We start from the raw sequence: 23,338 nt of genomic DNA on the forward strand, positions 1-23,338 counted from the left end.
CCATAAGCTAAACATATTTCCCAGGTGGTCACTGCCTTCATGAGTGGCTACATGGTGTCTGCATGTGTGTGGCCTGTCAAAGTGCTACGCTTATACTCCTGTTCCTTCTCTCTCAAGCCCACAGGAAGGAAAATAAAAACGACACATCAAGGAAGTAATCTAAAAGTGGCCAAAGTATCCTAAAGCATTGACCTATAAAAACAAAATTATTATTATTATTATTTTTTTTTTTTTGAGACAGAGTCTCGCTCTGTCGCCCAGGCTGGAGTGCAGTGGCACGAACTCGGCTCACTGCAAGCTCCACCTCCCAGGTTCACGCCATTCTCCTGCCTCAGCCTCCTGAGTAACTGGGACTACAGGTGTCCGCCACCGCGCCCAGCCAATTTTTGTATTTTTAGTAGAGACGGGGTTTCATCATGTTGGCCAGGATGGTCTGGATCTCTTGACCTCGTGATCTGCCCGCCTCGGCCTCCCAAAGTGCTGGGATTACAGGCATGAGCCACCGCGCCCGGCCAAAATTATTGTTTTAAAATTTACAAAATGCTTCCATGTCCATTTTCTCATTTAATCCTCAAAGCCCAAGGAGGCTCATGTCATTTATGTTTTAATGAGAAGACTGAAGCTCCGGGAAGTAAACAGATTTGCCCCAAATCATAAAGCCAGAAAGCAGCAAAACCACAAGAACAGGAGCTACAGCTGGCAGATGACTTCAGTCGTGGTTCAGATATAGAGCACTTTGTTTTTTCTTTAGTGGGTAGTGGGTGAATCCATTTCATAGAGGAAAGAGGCTCCAATAACCCAAATTCTGGAAATACTCAAGGAATGATTTTCAAAATAGCTACAAAAATATTTCTAATGGTTTTTAAAGAAGCTACTTTTCTTTCTACATGACAAGATACCTTGACACAGAAGAGACTAGGTTTAAAACTAAAGACAAACATTGTTAATATTGTAAACATTTTACTTATGAATCCATCATAAATCTATTATCATGCTAAATGTATTGTACATTTACTACTGTGCCAGGTTAGTAAAGACAAAAATTAGATTACTTATGCCCTTTTTTCCCTAAGATCCAAAATTATACACCACAAGAAACTGTTTCATTGTTATCTACAACTGAAAATAGGAGCTGGCTAACCGAAATCAAGCAAGAGCTTTCCTAAAAGCAGCCTTGTAAGTGGCACACAGGAAAAGAACAGTTACAAGTGCTGGTTTCCAGGGGCAAGGGCAATATTCTAGAGGGAGGGGTTCCTATTAGAACCCTTGTGGTGGCTGAGCGTAGTGGCTCAAGCCTGTAATCCCAGCACTTTGGGAGGCTGAGGCAGGCGGATCACTTGAGGCCAGGAGTTCGAGACCAGCCTGGCCAACATGGCAAAACCCCATCTCTACTAAAAATACAAAAATTAGTTGGGCGTGGTGGTGCATGTCTGTGATCCCAGCTACTTGGGAGGCTGGGGTGGCATGATGAATTAAACCCGGGAGGTGGTGGCTGCAGTGAGCTGAGACTGCTGCCACTGTACTCTAGCTAGGGCAACAGAGTGACACCCTGTCTCAAAAAAATAAGAAACCCTGTGTCTATATTGGTGCCCCTTTTTCTCCAGGAACCACAGTCCTATTAGGTGAAGAGAAACACCAAAAAAGCTCCAGAGGACACGCAAAACCCCATACACGTTAAACCACGGAAGAAGTAAGCAGCTGCTCATTCTCCAGCTTTGAGCTCTGAGGAATAAGACTAAGGAATAGCAAAGTGACTGCTTTGTTTTGAGAAGCACTGTTCCCATTACACAGTCCTCTTACCGCAGAAGGCCCTGGAAATCTGACCACAAAGCCACCAGTCATCAGGGGCAGGGGCTTTTTCAACCTACTCCCCATACCTCCTGTGCCAGCTTCCATGGAACGCTACCAGCGTGTCTCCCACTGTTCCTCCCTCCCGTTAACAGTCCCAGCCATATTGTGCCAAGTCACTGACAGGAAGATGTGATTCCCTCAGGTCTGTTGGGGCAGAAAAATAGTAGAAAATCCAAAGCAGCCCAGGCTCTTTCTGCCCTGGGATCCGGTCCCTCCCCACCTGAATGTGTTCAGGGATCAGAGGTCTGGGGAGTACAGCACCAGGAACAGCTCAGCACAGGCTGGGGTTAGCGTGACAGCAGCTGGAGCCACAATCTCAGCTAAGCTTTTATTAGTCAACGGAATAATTCGAAGGAGGGGGTCACAAAAACAATTTATGTCACCTGGCCGGGCGTGGTGGCTCATGCCTATAATCCCAGTACTTTGGGAGGCCGAGGCAGGCGGATCACCTGAGGTTGGTAGTTCGAGACCAGCCTGATCAACATGGAGAAACCCCGTCTCTACTAAAAATACAAAATTAGCTGGGCACGGTGGTACATGCCTGTAATCCCAGCTACTGAGGCAGGAGAACCACTTGAACCCAGGAGGTGGAGGTTACAGTGAGCCAAGATCATGCCACTGCACTCCATCCTGGGCAACAAGAGCAAAACTCCATTTCAAAACAACAACAACAACAAAAAAAAACTATGTCTTCATAAGGGTGAAACCAACACCACACTGAGGGTAGGTGACGTGACAGGATTCAGTGAGGACTCTGAACATTAAAGGTGATCTCACTGGAATACTAGTAATGACCGCAACAAAAGACTCCTAAGAGCCAGGTGCAGTGGCTCCCGCCTGTAATCCCAGCACTTTGGGAGGTCAAGGCGGGCAGATCATTTGAGGCCAGGAGTTCAAGACCAGCCTGGCCAACATGGTGAAACCCCATCTCTACTAAAAATACAAAAAAATGGCCAGGCGCAGTGGCTCACAGCTGTAATCCCAGCACTTTGGGAGGCTGAGGCAGGCGGATCACAAGGTCAGGCGTTCGAGTACAGCCTGGCGAATATGGTGAAACCCTGTTTCTACTAAAAATACAAAAATTAGATGGGTGTGGTGGCAGGCATCTGTAATCCCAGCTGCTCGGGAGGCTGAGGCAGGAGAATCGCTTCAACCCGGGAGGCGGAGGTTGCAGTGAGCCGAGACTGCACCACTGCACTCTAGCCTGGGCTAAAGGGTGAGACTCCATCTCAAAAAAAAAAAAAAAAAAAAGTACAAAAAAATTAGCTGGGCATGGCGACGCGCGCCTGTAATCTCAGCTACTTGGGAGGTTGAGGCACGAAAACTGCTTGAACCCAGGAGGCAGAGGTCGTGGTGAGCAGAGATCACACTACTACACTCCAGTCTGGGGAACAGAGACTCTGTCTCAGAAACAAACAAACAAATAAAAACAACAAAAGACTCGTAAGTAGTACTGCAGGAAAATGGAATTTTATCTAAACCCCAAGAACCCTCTTGGCCAGGTCCACTTGGCCCTGCCCCTCCATCACCTAGTAGGACCCAGGGAGCTTGGCGGTGGGATTATGGCAGTGCAGGTTGGAGAGGGAGTCTCTCGTGGCAGTTCACATTCTCTCTCACCAGCTGCCCATGGGACACAATGCAGGAATTCAACCTGGTGCCCCAAAGCCCTTCAGGTTTGCAAAATGACTCGTGTCACCAAGAAAAGAAATCCTAATCTGTACCTGCACCCTGCTTCCTGAATGAATAGAACTAAACTGTCACATTACAACAAATGACTTTGTTTTTCCTGTCATGGTGACCCATCTTCTATTTGTGTCACTTGATGTTGGCAGGCCAAGGAAATTGAAGCCTCCCCTGATGACCATAATCACAATTGTAAATTTATAAATCTGCATAAATGAAATTGTTGGAACTGTTTAAACATAATCCCATCATCTAGAGACCCGCCATTTAAACTAGGACTGAGGAAGAAAATCACCGACATCACAAGCTGTGCATCCCCTCGCAGGAGCAGCTCAGATCACTCCCAGGAAAATTTTAAAACTCCCCGAAGAACCACACATGTGCTAGCTTAATCCAAGCTCAATCAACAAATAGTATTGAGGATGATGACTTAAAACAGCAGTTTGGAACTGATGTTTTTGTTTTTGCTTGAATCTCATCTATGTATTAGGATTGGAAATAAAAGACACAAACCCTTGAAGGGCAGGGACCGTATATACTCACCTTTTTATCCTTCCTACCTTAACTGTACCTACCATGAAAGACAAAGACACACTCCAATGTTCACCAGGTGAATTAGCTTTAGGGTTTTAGGTTAATACGGTTGATACAGTGTCATTAACAGAATAGAAGACCAAATGAAATCTACACCGTAACTATCCTTTAAAATGTCTGAAAATGCCAATCTCTAATAACTACACTAGCCAAACTTGAAAGGCAAGAACTGAGTTAGCATCAACAAAGGAAGTATGAACAGTCTGTCTGCCTGAAACCACGTAACAAATTGATGTGTAAACCTTAATTTTACAGTCTTCCAAAATGCTGGTCATTTCATTTCCATGCCAGACGGTTTGATTCCTTTTCTTTTTTTTTTTTTGAGATGGAGTCTCGCTCTGTCACCCAGGCTGGAGTGCAGTGGCTCGATCTCGGCTCACTGCAAACTCCGCCTCCCGGGTTCACGCCATTCTCCTGCCTTAGCCTCCTGAGTAGCTGAGACTACAGGCGTCCGCCACCACGCCCGGCTAATTTCTTTGTATTTTTAGTAGAGACGGGGTTTCACCGTGTTAGCCAGGATGGTCTCAATCTCCTGACTTCGTGCTCCACCCACCTCAGCCTCCCAAAGTGCTGGGATTACAGGCATGAACCACCGTGCCTGGTCTATTACTCTTAAAATTGAAATACTGAAAATGTAGAAAGTGACATGCTATTTGATTTTTTTCCCCCTATAAAAAGAGTTTTGAGGGACTTGCTAATGAAGGGTCTGACATTTCCAAATGTTAAGATTGGCTGGCCAGGCGCAGTGGTTCATGCCTATAATCCCAGAACTTTGGGAGGCTGAGGAGGGAGGATCACTTGAGGTCGGAAGTTCAAGACCAAATGTTAAGACTGGCTGTTCTGATTCTACTCGTACTTTCAAGGCTTTCGAGTCACTTCTTTTTTTTTTTTTGAGACAGGATCTCACTCTGTCACCCAGGCTGGAGTGCAGTGGCACGATTATGGCTCACTGCAGCCTCAACCTGCTGGGCTCAAGCGATCCTCCCACCTCAGCCTCCTGAGTAATTGGCAAATAGGCACACACCACCATACCCAACTAATTTTTGTACTTTTTGTAGAAACAGGGTTTTGCTGTGTTGCCCAGGCTGGTCTCAAACTCCCAGGCTCAAGTGATCTACCCACCTCAGCCTCCCAGTGATGGGATTACAGGCACGTGCCACCACACCCACCCCAAAGTCACATCTGAATCCCCAACTGAACTCATCAGCCAGTACACATTTCATTCTGATCCTTTAACTTAGCTGTGGCTCTGACCTCACGGTGGTTACTGATGTTGCTTCTGGGGTATGCAATAGAGTCTGCATACGTTTACTTTATGTACTTCTCAAATAATTTTTAAGTAATTAGCATTGTGTTCACATTTTCAATTTAAAATAAATTCCATATTTTTTTCTCAAAGGATAGAAACTTACATTTCTTTCCTAAATTCTTCCATTTTTTGATTCTCTACAGTCAGGAGTTCTTTTGATTTGTTCAGCTCTTCCACATTTTTCAAGTTGTTTTCTTTAAGTGTGTCCAACTTAAAGACCAAGAGAAAAAAACTTGATGAAATTATTTCATTTTCCAGTGACATGAATGAACAAATTATTCATGAAAATGTGTACTGAAAAGACAGATGAAATTAGTCACTCGCAAAAAAAAAAAGTCTCCTGGGTGAAGAGATTACAGATGACAAGTCTATTACAAACTGCAAACCTCCTCCTTACATTTAGTCTGATATATATATATCCTGTACACCTGGCCAAAAGGTCAAACTAGATTGCTACACAGAAGTAAAGTTTTCTTTTATCTTGTGTACAATTATCAGCACTTATCACTGAACTTGCTATTCAAATATGATTAAAAACAAGAAATAAAATGCAAAGCAATGACATCAGCAAGGATTATTCTTTGTAATGAAAAGAAACCCTTTTCTTTCCCCAAAGATTAGTGATTTAGGATACGATATTTTTCAATGTCAGTACCAGATTTACATAGTCCTCATTACAAAAATTATTTATTTGAATCAAAATTATTTGTAGACTGGAAAAAAATTTAGTTACCCATCTGAACTTGAACCTGAAGAGGAAAAAGCCATGTCGTGGGACTGAAGGGCACTTACACCCACCTGGCTCCATCATTGGCCCACGGGGATGCAGCCAGCTGAGGGCCTGGCTCTTGGTGGAAAGCCAGAGCTGTCACTGGGATGAGTGGGGATATGACTGATCATAGGCTGTGGCAGGTGGTTGGAGCTCTAGGTGCAGAGCCACCACCAAGGATGGTAGCTCATGTGGGCCTCCATTCCTCAAGGTGGCTCCTGGGGCCATGCTGGCTTTCTGGGCCTTGAGAAGTTGTCTCCTACAGCCAGAAAAGGGAGCTATCTCCTTTTGCCATGCCACATGCCACCAGTCAGGAGTCCTAGAAAATGTCTTGCTAGTTTTACAACTACCATCTTCCTTTTAACACCTAACATTCCAGATTAACAGAACAAGAAAAATAAAATATCACAATGGGTCCGAAAATATGGTTCATCCAACCCTGAATTCTGGCTATAACAAAGACACCAAGGGATCTGTTATAGAACGACACAGTTCCCCCTGGTTCCACTGCTGCAGGTTAGACACATTCCCTAAAATCCTCTCATTTACTTCAGCTTCTAATTTTGATTAACAGCTATGATTTTTTAATGCTTTTATACTTTTAGTTTAAGTCATCTTCTCTTAGGATTGTCAGTTCTATAAATGTACTTCCTTCTATGTGAAGTGTTGTTATTTATCATATCATTACCTCCAAATGTTCATCTCCTTTGAAAAGTTGATCCTTGACCTCCACAATGAGGAGGCCTGGTCTTTACAGTGGCTCCTCAGTTTGGCCACTGCCTCCCCCTTGCTTTCCTTCCTTAATGTCTTACCTGCCTATTACTTTTAAAAGTATCTGGGCTGGGCGTGGTGGCTCATGCCTGTAATCCCAGCCCTTTGGGAGGCCAAGGTGGGAGGATCACGAGGTCAGGAGTTCCAGAACAGCCTGGCCAACATGGCAAAACTCCGTCCCTACTTAAAATACAAAAATTAGCCAGGCGTGGTAGTGGGCACCTGTAATCCCAGCTACTCGGGAGGCTGAGGCAGGAGAATCACTTGAACCCAGGAGGTGGAGGTTGCAGTGAGCCGAGATCATGCCATTGCACAACAGCCTGGGCAACAAGAGCAAGACTCCATCTCAAAACAACAACAACAAAACAAAACAAAAAAAGCAACAACAACAAAAAAGCATCTGAAGTTCCACAGGACTTCACATAACCATTTTGGTGCCTCAGTCGGCTTAGGATTTAGATAACAGCTTTCCAAATGAAGAAAGGGTTGGTATGAGCTAGGAGGGTGGGAGCAGGGAAATCCAAAGAGGAGGAGAAATGCCACAGAAGGAGAAATGCTACTTGTGGACAGAATCAAAATATCTTGACGCCACATATTTGTCCCTGCTCCAAAAGTGACTCATTCAAGATGACACAAAAGGAAATCAGTACTGAATTGGGCCAAGAAAAGGCCTACATCAGACTCAGGGCTGAGGAAGAAAACTTAGTGGCTCAAAGTTGGGAAAGAGAAGAGAAAAAACAATGTGTGTGATGTAAGATCAAGGATACAAAAGCTAGAGCAGGCCATCAGTACCTCCTCTCACTAGTGCCATCAGTAAACAGTCACCTTAGCCACACTATTAGGATTTTTTCCTCAATTTGTAAAGTTGATCCTAATAAGTAATGAAGTGATACACTTTATTTAAGATTATCGTGGCTCTGGCATGCATTTCAAACCTGTGTAAAGTCACACACTTCAAAAACATAAGCAATCCTGAGTCAGTGACCAAACATTCTACCAAGTTGGTAAGCTGTTCTTTGTATAAAAAGCTATTTAAATCTGATTACTTCATTCTGTAGTTTTGCATTTGTTTGCTTGGTGTCCTCCAAGGAGGCCAGAGTCTCAGTCTTCTCTTTGGTCATCTGTTCCATTATCTGCATGGCATCTTCCGCTGTTTGAGCAGCCTAAATACAAGGAAACACTGTGAGAAATGAGGACAGCCCTCGCCAACACCGTTAGGTGAGGATCGGGCTGTGCTGTTCAGGCAGCACTCAGTGTCTGTGTGGGTAAGGGAGGCACACAGAGAGGGTGAATCAGTCACAATCCAGTGCTGAAACAGACGGACCAGGACAGGAAAGGTCTTTACTCTGAAGTAGAATATGCAGACCCTTTCCTGCCATTTTTCAATGTCAATTGTTATGCAATTTGCATGTAAACATACATCTTCCAGTGAAAGTTCCAAATGACACTGGCAAGCATGCTCCCTTCATTCTGACTTATGTTTGAGAGACCGTTCGGAGGTAACAATGAATAACATCCTTATATAGCTGAATTTCTTGGAATCATATTTATTATTATAAGTTTAAAATACCATCCTTGCTATTTCAAATCTGGGGCTTTCAAAGTCACTCAAATTTAGGCTGAGAATTTTTCAAATAAATATAAAAATTATTTGGGCACTTCTAACATAAGGCTCAAGTGTTTAACGAGAAGCATTTAATGCAAGTTGTGGGTAATGAATAAAAACACGGCTGTGAATAAAAAGATGCATATGGAGACAAATTCTTAGCTGTTAACTATCAAAATTAATTATAAAAAGTTAGATATAGGCCGGGCGCAGTGGCTCACGCCTGTAATCCCAGCACTTTGGGAGGCCGAGGCAGGCGGATCACGAGGTCAAGATATTGAGACCATCCTGGCCAACATAGTGAAACCCCGTCTCTAATAAAAATACAAAAAACTAGCTGGCCGTGGTGGCGGGTGCCTGTAGCTACTTGGGAGGTGGGGCAGGAGAATGGTGTGAACCTGGGAGGCGGAGGTTGCAGTGAGCTGAGATTGCGCCACTGCACTCCAGCCTGGCGACACAGCGAGACTCCGTCTCAAAAAAAAAAAAAAAAGTTAGATGTAAAAATAACCATAAAAATAAATGAAAATATAGCTAGGCATGGTAGCATGTGCCTACAGTCCCAGCTACTCAGGGAGCTGAGACGGGAGGATTGCTTGAGCCCAGGAGGTGGAAAGTAGCCTGGGAAACACAGCAAGATTCCCACCTCTAAAAAAATAAATTAATTAACAGGCCAGGCGCAGTGGCTCATGCCTGTAATCCTAGCACTTTGGGAGGCCGAGGCAGGCAGATCACAAGGTCAGGAGTCAATATGGTGAAACCCAGTCCCTACTAAAAATACAAAGCTTAGCCGGGTGTGGCAGCACGCACCTGTAGTCCCAGCTACTCAAGAGGGTGAGGCAGGAGAATCGCTTGAACCCGGGAGGCAGAGGTTGCAGTGAGCCAAGGTCACACCACTGTACTCCAACCTGGGTGACAGAGCGAGACTCTTTTTTTTTTTTTTAGGCAGTCTCATTCTGTCACCAGGCTGGAGCGCAGTGGTGCAATCTCAGCTCACTGCAACCTCCGCCTCCCTGGTTCAAGTGATTCTCCTGCCTCAGCCTCCTGAGTAGCTGGAACTACAGGCCCACATCACCACACCGGGCTAATTTTTGTATTTTTAGTAGAGACGGGGTTTCACCATGTTGGCCAGGATGGTCTTGATCTTCTGATCTCGTGATCCGCCTGCAACAGCCTCCCAAAGTGCTGGGATTACAGGTGTAAGCCACCGCACCCGGTGAGACTCTGTCTTAAATAAATAAATAAATAAATAAATAAATAAATAAATAAAGTCCTTTAGGCACTTGTTTATAATTTATTGGTCTAATAAAGTTTATGAAAATTCTGCATTTTTCCCTATCCAATTATCAGCCATGAAGATTTCAATGGAATCTTCCAACTCCAAATGGACAGACACAATGAAATAGTTAAAAGCCAAACAGAAGACTATATTTCAATATGTGCCAATTTATTGCTTTTTTTTTTTTTCCCTTGAGACAGAGTTTTTCACTCTTGTTGCCCAGGCTGGAGTGCAATGGCGCAAGCTCGGCTCACTGCAACCTCCATCTCCTGGATTCAAGTGATTCTACTGCCTCAGCCTCCTGAGTAGCTGGGATTATAAGCGCACGCCACCACGCCTGGCGAATTTTTGTATTTTTAGTAGAGACAGGGTTTCACCATGTTGGTTAGGCTGGTCTCGAACTCCTGACCTCAGGTGATCCACCTGCCTCAGCCCCCGTGAGCCACCACACCTGGCTGTTCTTTTTTTTTAGATGGGGTCTCGCTCTGTCAACCAGGCTGGAGTGCAATGGCATGATCTCGGTTTCCTGCAACTTCTGCCTCCTGGGCTCAAGCAATCCTCTCATCTCAGCCTCCTGAGCAGCTGGGACGATAGGCATGTGTCACCATGCCCAGCTAATTACTGTATTTTTTGTAGAGACAGGGTTTTGCCATGTTGCCCAGGCTGGTCTCGAACTCCTAGACTGAAGCCATCTGTCCACCTCAGCCTCCCAAAGTGCTGGGATTACAGGCGTGAGCCACTGCGCCCAGCCGAATTTCACTATTGCTCTTAAGCTTTTTCATAAAGTTTCTCCTTAGATTAAAAAATAAATCCTTTTTATTCACAGTTTGCAATTTTTTTCAAATGGGGAGAGACTACTACAGTGAGATACTTAGTAAAGAATCCCCCTTTCAGACTGTAACGAACAGCTTGAGACATATAAGCAACTGACTTAATGAGGTGGATTTCCATAAGCAGAAATGAAGAAAGATGACCTACACCACTTGAGTTAGTGCACAGTGTTAGTAAGCAGTCTGGGTGCTCAATACTTGACCCTCTCACTTTACCGTAAATGACTGAAGAGTCTCGAGCTCTCTAATTTTAAGAGTAAGCTTGTTCTTGTCTTTTCTCAAAGTACGGTTTTCATTTTGAGATTCTAGGAGATTGGCTGAAATATGGCTGTTGGTTTTGGCCAACTGGCTGATCTCTTTCTGAAGGATGAAGTAGCTTTCTGCCAGGGTTTCCTTCTCCTTCAGGAGCTCATCCTTTTCCAGCATCATTTCGCTCTTCTCAGCCAGGAGGTTCTGGTTGTCTTGCATCACCTGGGCTTTTTCGGCCAGGGTCACCTCATGGTTCCGCTGAAGGTCATCCAGAATCTTGGTGAGGCAGCTGTGCAGTTCCTGCAGCTCTGCCTTGGATTTGGACAAGGCAGCAAAATCACTTTTCAGAGTCTTTATATGGGCAGCAAGTTGAGCTGCTTCTGCAGTCAACAGTTCCTTCTCCTCGATTATCTCTGCCAGTTCTTGCTCTGATTTGCTCTTCTCTTGAAGTAGCACAAACTTCTCGGACTGCAGCTCCTCGATACACACTCTTAACTCCTCCACCTCCTGCTCCAGGAGCACCATCCTCCCGTGAAGTTGATTGTTTTCGTACAAGGATGACTCGCTCTCCTTTGCTCTGGCTTCCTGTTCCAGGATTAAGGACTGCTGCATTTCCTGGATCTCCTTGCTTAATTTGTGACACTCTTCTTGCAGGTTCAAGCCATCTCTCAGCAAAATGTTCTTCTCGGAACAACACGTGTTAAGTTGAGCATCCAAACTCTCCTTTGCTTGCAATATGTGAGTGTGTTCTTTTTCCAGATTCTTTTTGGTATTTTGAGCCTCTTTCAGCATCAAAGAGAGGTCGCACTTGCTGGCCACTAGTTCTTGGTTTTCCTTTTTTCTCTCTTGAAGCTCCTTCTTCAGAGCATCAATATTACCGAGGAGTTTCATATTCTCTTGCACAACTAAACTTCTGTTTGCAGACTCTTGATCACATTGCCTTTTGAGGTCTCCTATGGCTTTGATGGAATTCTCTCTCTCTGCAAGTAAAGCTCCATTTTGCGTTTCCAGTGAGGATTTTTCTTTCAAGAGACTATCCTGCTGCTTTTTAAGTTCAGTCATTTTCTGAGAAGCCATCTCCTTCTCGGAAGTCAGGTAAGTGATCTTCTCATTCAGGCTCATCTCAGTATGGGCAGCCTCTTCTAAGCATTTGTGGAGTTTTTCAGTGATTATTCTATTTTCACTTAAAAGTTCCTCTTTCTCAGCCAAGAGCCTTCTCTCGGAGGCAGCCAAGGTTTCTTTCTCATGCAGAAGCTGGATGCACTCGGAGTCCGTGACCGCCCGCCTGGCCTTAATTTCCTCCAAGAGCTTCGTGAGGCTTGTGTTTGCGGCCTCGAGTTGCACGGTCTCCAGCTCTGCCTTCCTCAGGGCCTTGCTGGCATCATCCAGCTGTGCGCGGAGCCCACTGGCTTCTGAGCGGAGCAGCTGTTTGACCTGGAGAGCGGCCTGGAGGCTGGCATTCAGCTTTTCCTGATCTTGAAGCAGCATGTCCGTCTCTAACTGCAGATTTCTGTTGTTCTGAAGAACATTATCTCGTTCTACCTTTAAGGCTATGCACGTGTTATCGAGATTGGACAATTTCTCTAAAGCTGACTTTTTCTCAGCTGTGAGATCTTCAGTCTCCTGTACCAAAGCTTTCTGATCTTTGACTAGCTCCTCATAAGACCTTTGAAGCTTCTGAATGATGTCATCCTTATCTTTGGCCAAGATGAAGTTTTCGGTAATAAGTTTCTTGATCTGGTCCTCCAGGTGATCTTTTTCTTCCTGGTCCTTCTCAGTCTTAGCAATCAAAGTATCTTTGCTGAGCTGGAGCTCTTCAATGAGTGCCTGCATGCTCACCTTGGAAGCTTGCAAAGAGTCATTTTCCACATTTATCTTCAAGAGTTCTTCCTGTACAACATTGATTTCTTTAAGCAATTTCTCTCTCTCAACAGCCAAAGCTTCTTTATTGAGATGTTCCTGCTCATAATACTTTTCGGCATCTTGCTTTTCTTCTAAGAATTTCTCCTTTTCTAAATTAAGAGTTTCATTCACTGACCACAGTTTCTGCTGGTCTCCCTGAAGTAAAGCTATTTTGGCCTCCAATTCTACAAGCTTGGATAAAAGTGAACCGTTTTCTAACTTTAAATCATTTCCCTCCTGAGAAAGAAGCTGCTTCTCTGATTTCAGACCCCTCAGCTCTTCTGACATTAGTTCAATTTCTTTTTTGGCTGATGTTAACAAATAAGTTAGCGACTACAGAAACAAAAGATGGAAAGAATGGAAACAAAAATGAAATCAAGCAGACAAATGCAAGCCCAAATAACTTAATGTAACCTAAATGATAAAAACTTTACAATTTCTACAATAAACTTTATAGAAACTATCTGAATAACAAGGGAAAGAAACTAAACAGAGCCCATAAAAAGGTAAGTCAAAAGTGTAGTTTTGCAAAGTGCTTCTGTATCTGTTAGCTTATTTTATCTTTGAAACAACTTGTGAAATTATTCCCAGTAGCTACCTAGAAGATAAAAATAGTAGCTTGATTTTAATATCAGGGCATAAGATTCTTTCCTGCCATTCCAATTATCAAATTACTTTGAAAGCAGAAAGGATTCATAGAACAATTTTTAAAAATACAATTAAAAGAAGTACAAAAACTCAGTATATTTTAATGAAAAAAGGAAGGGGCATAACAAGGGAAAATAAACTACTGCCTTCCAAACTCACCACAGGACCTTACTTAAGGGTAGCTGAGGGGCTGAGAGTGATTTAGTCCCAATATCACATATAACTTAAAAACTACAGCCTAATTTCTAGGCTTTGCTGACTAAAAGGAATAGTTTTTTTTTTTTATTTACTGAATTATAAGATAATTTGACCACAGTGTCTATACCAGTGCTATCCAGAACTTTCTGCAATGATATAATTTTTTTTTTTTTTTTTTGAGACTGAGTCTCGCTCTATCTATTGCCCAGGCTGGAGTGCAATGGTGCGATCTTGGCTCACTGCAACCTCCGCCTCTGGGTTCAAGCTATTCTCATGCCTCAGCCTCCCAAGTAGCTGGGATTACAAGGCTCCGCCACCGTGCCCGGCTAATTTTTGTATTTTTAGTAGAGACGGGGTTTCACCATGTTGGCCAGGCTGGTCTCAAACTCCTGACCCCAAGTGATCCACCCACCTAGGCCTCCCGAAGTGCTGGGATTACAGGCATGAGCCACCACGCCCAGCTGATATAAATGTTCTTATTTGCACTCCCATCATGGTGACCATATGACTACTGAGCACCTGAAATGTGGTGAGTGCAACTGAGGAGCTAAATTTTTAATTAAAATGTAACAAATTTAAATTTATTTATTTATTTATTTATTTTGGAGGCAGAGTCTCACTCTGTGGCCCAGGCTGGAGGGAAGTGGCGCGATCTCGGCTCACTGCAACCTCTGCCTCCCAGTTTCAAGCGATCCTCTTTTAAGCATATACAAAAATAGAGAAAATAATGTAGACCGCATATATTCCCATATTAAGGTTTTTATTTTTATTTATTTTTTGAGACAGTCTCACTCTGTCACCCAGGCCAGAGTGCAGTGGCACCATCTCAGCTCACTGCAGCCTCCGCCTCCCAGGCTCAAAGGATTCTCCTGCCTCAGCCTCCTGAGTAGCTGGGACTACAGGTGTGTGCCACCACACCCAATTAATTTTTTGTATTTGTAGTAGAGACGGTCTCACGATGTTGTCCAGGGTGGTCTCAAACTCCTGTGCTCAGGCAATCTGCCCACCTTGGCCTCCCAAAGTGCTAGGATTACAGGCGTGAGCCACCAGAACTGGCTACAAATTTACATTTGAATGGCCTCACATGGCTGGTGGCTACTACATTAGGCAGCACAGCTATAGCCCACTGGCTCTTAAAAGTAGGGAATAGGAGGCTTCATGGGTTCCAGGAACCTTGTTGAGTGCACACGTAAACTTTCCTGAAAAAATATCTGTAGATTTCATTAGATTATTCCAAAGAGTCTGGGACTGATTACGATCCACTGAAATTAGATACTAGACACGTTTGGAGGGGAACAGTCCTGGCATTTTTAACTCAATGACTCTTGCACAAAACCAACCAACAAAATCAGTGAGACTGGCCAGGAATGGTGGCTCATGCCTGCAATCCCAGCACCTTGTGAGACTGGCCAGGAATGGTGGCTCACGCCTGCAACCCCAGCGCCTTGTGAGACTGGCCAGGAATGGTGGCTCACGCCTGCAACCCCAGCGCCTTGTGAGACTGGCCAGGAACGATGAATCACGCCTGCAATCCCAGCACCTTGGGAAGCTGAAGCAGGTGGATCGCTTGCATCCAGGGGTTCGAGACCAGCCTGAGCAACATAGCGAGACTCTGTCTCTACAAAAAATAAAAAATTAGCCAGGTGTAGTGGCACGTGCTTTTAGTCTCAGCTACTTGGGAAGCTGAGGCAAGGGGATCACTTGAGCCCGAGAGGTTGAGGCTGCAGTGAGCCATGACTGTGCCGCTGCACTCAGCCTGGGTGACAGAGTGAGACCTTGTCTCAAAAAAACAAACAACAACCGAGGAGACCTTACATCAGCTTCTGCGATGCTGTGGTTTGCTCAGGCTGAAACATTTTAAAGGAAATACAAAAAAAAAACTGAAGTCTGCACAGATAAAGGAAACCACAAAGACAAAAGATCTGGGAATTGTATCTAGTGTTAAATGGCTCATAAAACTGGAGGTATTTCACAGAAAGAAGAGAAATCCTCAACTATCAGCATGTAGAAGAGGGAGAATATGGGCCTCCCAGATGACATGCACGGCACACACATACCATGTCATGTCCACTTAGTTAGCAAGAGGCTTTTCATGAGATTGGTTTCAAGTCCTATATATGCTCTTTTATCATTTCTTTCTACTAAACTCCTATAAACACATTAAAAATAAAGAAAGGTGAATATTTACTTTCCTTTGAGCAATAGAAGGTTAAACAGTGGGCAAGGTTGAACTTCGTGAAGTTACCAGAGTCACAAAATGTACTGGGCAGGCCAGGCATGGTGGCTCACACCTGTAATCCCAACACTTTAAGAGGCCAAGATGGGAGGACTGCTTGAGCCCAGGAGTTTGAGACCAGCCTGGGCAACACAGCAAGACCCCATTCTCTACAAAAAAAAGAAAAAATATATATTGGGCACAGATACAATCCTAAAACCATAAAATGAAATCCAACATATCAAATTCTGCTCTATCTACTAACAAGGTGTTTCCTCCCTGCCCTTGAATCCAGCTTCCTTGTCAATAAGCTCACAGTACCTTCCTGGGGACACATAAAGCCCTCTGTGGAGTTCTCAATTCTAACTCTTCCTAGAAGAGCTCTGTTCCTCCAACCAGGCTCTCTCTAGTCCTGATTCCTTGCTTGCTTACTTCATGTGACCTCTGCCTCTTGCTTTATCGCAACATCTCTCCAAACCCTAGTGCAAGGCAGCAACAAGCACGGCCAAGATTAGAGGAACAAGCAGGCAAGCAGAGCTCAGGCAACGAAAGAACCTTTGTGACCTCTGGGAAACAAGCAGCACAGGGGTGATGGCTACACAGTCCATTCCAGGAAAGACTGGCAGGAAACACCGTCCGAGAAGGAACAGCAGCTGGCACAAAACACTTGAAGCCATAGGAAATGTAATGTACCACCCTGCCACGCACTCAGAAGGGTAACGTCTGTAGAGGCCACCTTAACTTTTCCCACTGGCTGCTGCTTTCTAAGCACCCTTCCTGCCTCGACACAGAGCTCAGGCAAGCTACAACACAAGGAAATTCTCTCGCGTCACGTACTTTGGCTTTGTCGGCTTGCTTTCTCAGCTCCTCCAGCTCCTGCAGCAAGCCACTGTTCTCCTCCCGTGCGCCCTTCAGCTTGTCCTCTGTGTCCAGCAGCGTCTTCTGGAGGTTCTGTAGGATTTCTTCATGCTTGGTTTTTGTCTCAGAAGTGGCTCTCTCATACCTGGCTTTCAGCTCCTGACACTGGTTGTGGCTTGTTTCCATTTTCTTTTCCTGCAGAGACCCCGAATGAGGGAATGAGTCATCTGCCCATGCGTGTACTATCCCTTGCCTTCCTTGCCAGCCAACAGGCCCACTGAGTATCTCCTTACCAGGTCCGACAATTTCCTCTCCAATTCTTTCTTTTCTTCCTCATGCTTTTTAGCTGCTTCTTGCTGGCTCTGTTCAGCTTTGACAGTCATGTCCTCAATACTTTTTTGCAGAAAACTTGCATTTTCATTAGCCTTTGTAAGTTTTAGCTGTAATTCTTCTACATCTCTAGAAAAAGTTTCAATATAAGGTGTCAGATTTTTCATAAGAATGTTTTAAATTTAAGTTATATTAAAATATACTATTAATAATTGTAATTATTTTCAAAAGTTATGTGTAATTAATAACATCAGAACTAGGCAAGAAATTTTGTTTTGTTTTGTTTTGTTTTGTTTTGTTTTGGGGGGGCGGAGTCTCGCTCTGTCGCACAGGCTGGAGTGCAGTGGCATGATCTCCGCTCACTGCAAGCTCCGCCTCCCGGGTTCATGCCATTCTGCCTCAGCCTCCCCAGTAGCTGGGACTACAGGCACCTGCCAGCACGCCTGGCTACTTTTTTGTATTTTTAGTAGAGACAGGGTTTCACCGTGTTAGCCAGGATGGTCTCGATCTCCTGGCCTCGTGATTCGCCTGCCTCGGCCTCCCAAAGTGTTAGGATTACAGGCGTGAGCCACCATGCCTGGGCACAAGAAATTTTAAAATGCTTTGCCTAAATAATCATTTTACCAGTTATGATAGTCACAAATACATTATTTAGAGTAATAACTACTGTAATTGGGAAGGTTTACTATTTTATGTCAATAAATTAATAAGGAAAAATGAGTGAAAAATAAACTTATTAAAGGAAACGAGACCAGGCAGTGGTGGCTTATGCCTATGATCCCAGCACCCTGGGAGGCTGAGATGAGATCATTTAAGTTCAGGAGTTCAAGACCAGCCTGGTCAACATGGCGAAACCCCGTCTCTACTAAAAATACAAAAATTAGCCAGGTGTGGTGGCGCATGCCTACAATCCCAGCTACTCAGGAGGCTGAGGCAGGAGAACTGCTTGAGTCGGGTAGACAGAGGTTGCAGTGAGCCAAGATCGCATCACTGCAGTCCAGCCTGGGCAACAAAGCAAGACTCTGCCTCAATTAAAAATAAATAAAGGAGGCCAGGCACGGTGGCTCACACCTATAATCCCAGCACTTTGGGAGGCCGATGGGGGGGCGGATCACGAGGTTAGGAGATTAAGACCATCCTGGCTAACACAGTGAAACCCTCTCTCTAATAAAAATACAAAAAATTAGCCGGGCATGGTGGTGGGCACCTGTAGTCCCAGCTACTCTGGAGGCTGAGGCAAGAGAATGGCGTGAACCTGGGAGGTGGAGCTTGCAGTGAGCCGAGATCGCGCCACTGCACTCCAGCCTGGGCGACAGAGCGAGACTCTGTCTCAAAAAAAAAAATTAATTAATTAACTTAAATAAATAAATAAATAAATAAAGGAAATGAATGTTTCAAAATTTTAGCAGACTAGATTACTAAAAATTCACTCTAGTGCTTCTGGAGGACAGCAGATACAAAAATGACAATAAATAACTTGAAGTTCTACTTTAAAGAGACCATGTGGTTGAACAAAAATATGTATATAAAACATGGGGGGCCGGGTGCGTTGGCTCACGCCTGTAATCCCTGCACTTTGGGAGGCAGAGGTGGGAGGATCACCTGAGGTCAGGAGTTCGAGACCAGCCTGACCAACATAGAGAAACCCCATCTCTACTAAAAATACAAAATTAGCTGGGCGTGGTGGCGCATGCCTGTAATCCCAGCTACTCAGGAGGCTGAGACAGGAGAATCACTTGAACCCAGAAGGTGGAGGTTGCGGTGACCCAAGATCACACCATCGCACTCCAGCCTGGGCAACAAGAGCAAAGCTCCGTCTCAAAAAAAAACAAAAAACAAAAAACACGGGATGTTGATCAAGAAAACAGACTATTAGATGAATCACAGATGCAAGAGGGAAACTTGGGGGGCACTTCTGAATTTTATAGCCACAAAATACCTACAAAAATGGAGCTTCTTGAAGGCACTGAGCCACCACTACCTGTGTAGCAGCAGCACCTCAAGGCAAGTTTGACCAAAGTTGCCCAACCAAGGCCTGACCACCACTCAGCACCGATGAAATTGTGTGGGGGTGAAAGGCTGGATGTCTTAATAAATAGAACTTTGCAGGTATTAACACTTTTAAGAAGTAGAAGTCTAATGCCTACAGACTTAATTTATAAATGTTTGCCTTATAAATTCTTTGATTTTTATATGACAGCTATTAAAAGAAAAAGATCAAAGCAACAAGAATTCCAGAATAAAGACAAAAACAGATATTAAGATAGAGGAAACTTCAGCACTGAAGAAGTATAATGCAGTTTTTTTTTTTTTTTTTTTTGAGATGGAGTCTCGCACTGTTGCCTGGGCTGGAGTGCAATGGTGCGATCTGAGCTCACGGCACCCTCTGCCTCCCAGGTTCAAATGATTCTCCTGCCTCAGCCTCCTGAGTAGCTGGGAATCCAGGCACCTGCCACCACGCTCAGCTCATTTTTTGTATTTTTTTAGTAGAGACAGGGTTTCACTATGTTGGCCAGGCTGTTCTTGAACTCCTGACCTCGTGATCCGCCTGCCTCAGCCTCCCAAAGTGCTGGCATGACAGGCCTGAGCCACCACGCCCGGCCTACAATGTAGTTATTAAGAGCAGGAGGGGCTCTGGGACCAGACTGCCCAGATCTGAAACCTCAGGCTTCACCCCAGTAAGCCTCAGTTTCGCTCCCTCCCTTCCTTTTTATTATTTATTTATTTTTTTTTTGAGACGGAGTTTCACTCTTGTTGCCCAGGCTGGAGTGCAATGGCACTATCTCAGCTCACCGCAACCTCCACCTCCCGGGTCCAACTGATTCTCCTGCCTCAGCCTCCTGAGTAGCTGGGATTACAGGAATGCGCCACCATACCCGGCTAATTTTGTATCTTTAGTAGAGACGGGGTTTTCCATGTTGGTCAGGCTGTTCTTGAACTCCCAACCTCAGGTGATCCGCCTACCTCGGCCTCCCAAAGTGCAGGGAGATTACAGACATGAGCTACATACAGTGCCTGGCCTTATTCATTTTTTTGAGACGGAGTCTAGCTTTGTCACCAAGGCTGGAGTGCGGCAGCATGATCCTGGCTCATTGCAACCTCCGCCTCCTGGGTTCAAGCGATTCTCCTGCCTCAGCCTCCCAAGTAGCTGAGATTACGGGTGCACACCACCATGCCTGGCTAATTTTTGTATTTTTAGTAGCGATAGGGTTTCATCATGTTGGCCCAGCTGGTCTTGAACTGCTGACCTCAGGCGATCTGCCCGCCTCAGCCTCCCAAAGTGCCTGGCCTCTTTTTCTTTTAAATGGGAATAATGCTAAACTCACTTCGTAGGATAATAAGAATTAGAAAGCTGTTAGCACAGTGCATGGCCCATAGTAATAGATAATATGTGTTTCCTATTAAAATAAGTTCAGGCCAGGTACGGTGACTCATGCCTGTAATTCCAGCACTTTGGGCGGCCAAGGCGGCCAGATCGCCTGAGGTCAGGAGTTTGAGACCACCCTGGCCAACATGGTGAAAACTCATCTTTACTATAAATACAAAAATCAGCCGGGTGTGGTGGCACGTGCCTGTAGTCCCAGCTACTAGGGAGGCTTAGGCAGGAGAATCGCTTGAACCTGGGAGGTGAAGGCTGCAGTGAGCCGAGATCACGCCACTGCATTCCAGCCTGGACCACAGAATGAGACTCTATCTCAAAAAAAAATAGTTAAAAATATTTTTAAAGGTTGGGCACGGTGGCTCATGCCTGTAATCCCAGCACTTTGGGAGGCCAAGGCCCTGAGGTCAGGAGTTCGAGACCAGCCTGACCAACATGGAGAAACCCTGTCTCTACTAAAAATACAAAATTAGCCAGGCATGGTGGTGCAAGCCTGTAATCTCAGCTACTCGGGAGGCTGAAGCAGGAGAATTGCTTGAACCCAGGAGGCGGAGGTTGTGGTGAGCTGAGATCGCACCATTGCACTCCAGACTGGGCAAGAAGAGCAAAACTCCGTCTCAAAAAAAAAAAAAAAGCGTATATGTATATATACATCTATATACACATCTATATATAAACACATCTATATATATTTTTAACTGCCTGTAAAATATATTATTGTCATTGGTAAACTACTACCTTTTCTTTTTTCTTATTTCTTTTTAGATGGAGCGTCTCTCTATTGCCCAGGCTAGAGTGCAGTGGCACAATCTCAGCTCACTGCAACCTCCACCTCCTGGGTTTCAAGTGATTCTCTCATCTCAGCCTCCCCAGTAGCTGGGATTACAGGCTTGCACCACCACGCCTGGCTAATTTTGTATTTTTAGTGGAGACAAGGTTTCGCCATGTTGGCCAGGTTGGCCTCGAACTCCTGACCTCAAGTGATCCGCCCACCTCGGCCTCTCAAAGTGCTGGGATTACAGGCATGAGCCACCGCACCCGGCCTTATTATCTTTTCTTTACAAGTCACCAAAAGGTCTATAAATAGTATTGTATTCCTTAATTCTGTTGTTCTTGACAAGTAAGATAGGTAAAATCCATTTTAGAAGGTTAAATAGTTGATTCAAGGACACAATGAGGTAATAACAGAAAAGAACAGAGACGGGAAACTTTAAAACGTAACAATCCTAAACATTTTGTCTCCCCTCCCACCTAGAGCTTGCCGCAGAGCCTAACCTAAGGTCAGCACTCTTTTCAACAGTCACATATACCTTTCTTTCAGACGTAATTCATCGTTCATTTTTGTCAGCTGAGAAGAGTTATCTCCTGACATCTTCATTATTTCTGCAATGTCATTTTCCAGTTTTTCCTTTGCCTTTATCAGCTGCTCTTCTCTCTCATCTTTCTCTCTAAATTTTGCCTCCATATCTAAATATATAGAGAAAAAAAGAATAGCACGGCTGTGTTATATCAACAAAAACTGACTGAGTGTATTCTTGCTCTGGTAATATTTTCACACAGCAATTCTTGTCCTCATAAAAATCACATTCTAGTGAAGAAGGCACACAATAAGCAAGATAACGAAAATAAATCATATAATTAATAGCGGTAAGTGCTAAGAGGAAGGAAAATAAATGCAGGCAAAGGAGCTGGGAAGGAGGTTAGAATCTCAGATGGGGCTTCCCTGAGGTGCTGACATTTCAGGGAAAACCTGAAGGAAGTGAGGGAATGGGGAAAAGCAAGTGCACAGGCTCTGAGAAAGGAACACCCACCACGTCTGAGCACCACAAGGAGGCTGAAGTGGTTGGAGTGGAATGAACAGGGGAAGGGGGTCCCAGATGAAATCCGAGAGATAATAGGGCCTGATCGTGTAAGGATCACGGCTTTCCCTGAGTGGGATGGGAGTCACTGGATGACCTTGAGGAGAGGAGCGACATGATCTGACTTCGTATTAAAAGGATTGCTGTGGCTGCTGTGTTGAGAACAGACCGAAGCCGGCACAGGCAGCAGCAGTGAGCCCCAAGGGTCAGCTGTCAGGGTAGCTCAGATGAAAGATGGCCGTTGGCTTGGAGCAAGGATAGCAGTGGGAGTGGTGAGATGTGGTAGATTCTGGCTCTTGTGAAAACAGAGCAAAGAGGACTTGCTGGAGGTTACAGATCTCAAACAAGTATTTCATCACATTGTTATATCACCATGATGAGTGAAGAGGCTATGCCTGAATAGTACATTTGTTATGTAACATACTACAACTGTCTCGAATACGGGAAAGCCTACTGTATTTAATGTTTAGTCACCAGAGATGTCTTCTTACCTGCTAAGTTTTCTCTCAGCTTCTCCAAGTCAGAAGACAGCATGTTAAACTGTTCCTCCTTTTGGTGTAACTTATTTACAGTTTCTATTTAGGATAAAAGTTAGAAGTTTAATATGTTTCATATTTAATAAGCTATCTGGAGCTTGGCTGTCTTACAACCCAGTCAAATATTATGCTCAAGAGATCTGAGAACACAGGAATACTAAAAAGTCCCCTTACAAATCACATGGCTGTGTCCAGCCTGAAAGAAGCAGGTCTGCCGCTGTCTCTGGCCTCCCTGAATCAGTACTTCAGACAGGCATCAGGCCCTTTCCACTCATCTCTCTTTCCTCCTTCCAGTTAAAACTCAATAAAGCTATCAATGATGAAAGCATAAATAACACTCTTCCCAGGAATACTTACATTTTAATACAGAACAAGCCTTAAGCTAAAAGAAGAAAAAATTGGGAGTTTGAGGCTTCAGGAAACCAATGGAAGCCAGTCTTTCTGAGCACGGCAGGAACTTCCAGGAGAGTGAAAT

At 44.5% G+C, this 23,338-nt stretch overlaps 1 protein-coding gene and 1 pseudogene across 24 annotated transcripts in view, besides 2 other annotated features; both read right to left on the reverse strand.

The window, feature by feature from the left end:
- CLIP1 (CAP-Gly domain containing linker protein 1) overlaps positions 1–23,338 on the reverse strand; it is a 151,488-nt gene that overhangs the window by 39,740 nt on the left and 88,410 nt on the right. For 23 of the 24 annotated variants that reach the window (XM_047429314.1, XM_047429321.1, XM_047429320.1 and 20 more), the window contains 6 exons: positions 22,819–22,902; positions 21,779–21,935; positions 17,053–17,218; positions 16,739–16,954; positions 8,024–8,140; positions 5,541–5,647 (listed from right to left, as the gene is read on the reverse strand). In XM_047429314.1, the coding sequence (XP_047285270.1) occupies positions 5,541–5,647; positions 8,024–8,140; positions 16,739–16,954; positions 17,053–17,218; positions 21,779–21,935; positions 22,819–22,902 (847 nt within the window). Of the gene's footprint in view, positions 1–5,540; positions 5,648–8,023; positions 8,141–10,905; positions 13,174–16,738; positions 16,955–17,052; positions 17,219–21,778; positions 21,936–22,818; positions 22,903–23,338 lie in introns of all 24 variants that reach the window. The other variant, NM_001389291.1, reaches the window with a different exon arrangement.
- Positions 1,499–1,999: an enhancer, noted in NCBI's record as "H3K27ac hESC enhancer chr12:122797254-122797754 (GRCh37/hg19 assembly coordinates)". NCBI's record gives its function as "activates a minimal SCP1, AML or CMV promoter by ChIP-STARR-seq in primed H9 embryonic stem cells {active_cell/tissue: H9 hESC(primed)}" and the evidence as "EXISTENCE:reporter gene assay evidence [ECO:0000049][PMID:30033119]".
- Positions 2,000–2,500: an enhancer, noted in NCBI's record as "H3K27ac hESC enhancer chr12:122797755-122798255 (GRCh37/hg19 assembly coordinates)". NCBI's record gives its function as "activates a minimal SCP1, AML or CMV promoter by ChIP-STARR-seq in primed H9 embryonic stem cells {active_cell/tissue: H9 hESC(primed)}" and the evidence as "EXISTENCE:reporter gene assay evidence [ECO:0000049][PMID:30033119]".
- On the reverse strand, positions 10,966–12,639 carry CCDC150P1 (coiled-coil domain containing 150 pseudogene 1; annotated as a pseudogene).

This window comes from Homo sapiens, chromosome 12 (genome assembly GCF_000001405.40).
Source record: "Homo sapiens chromosome 12, GRCh38.p14 Primary Assembly".
In the NCBI taxonomy this organism is placed as follows: Eukaryota; Metazoa; Chordata; class Mammalia; order Primates; family Hominidae; genus Homo; species Homo sapiens.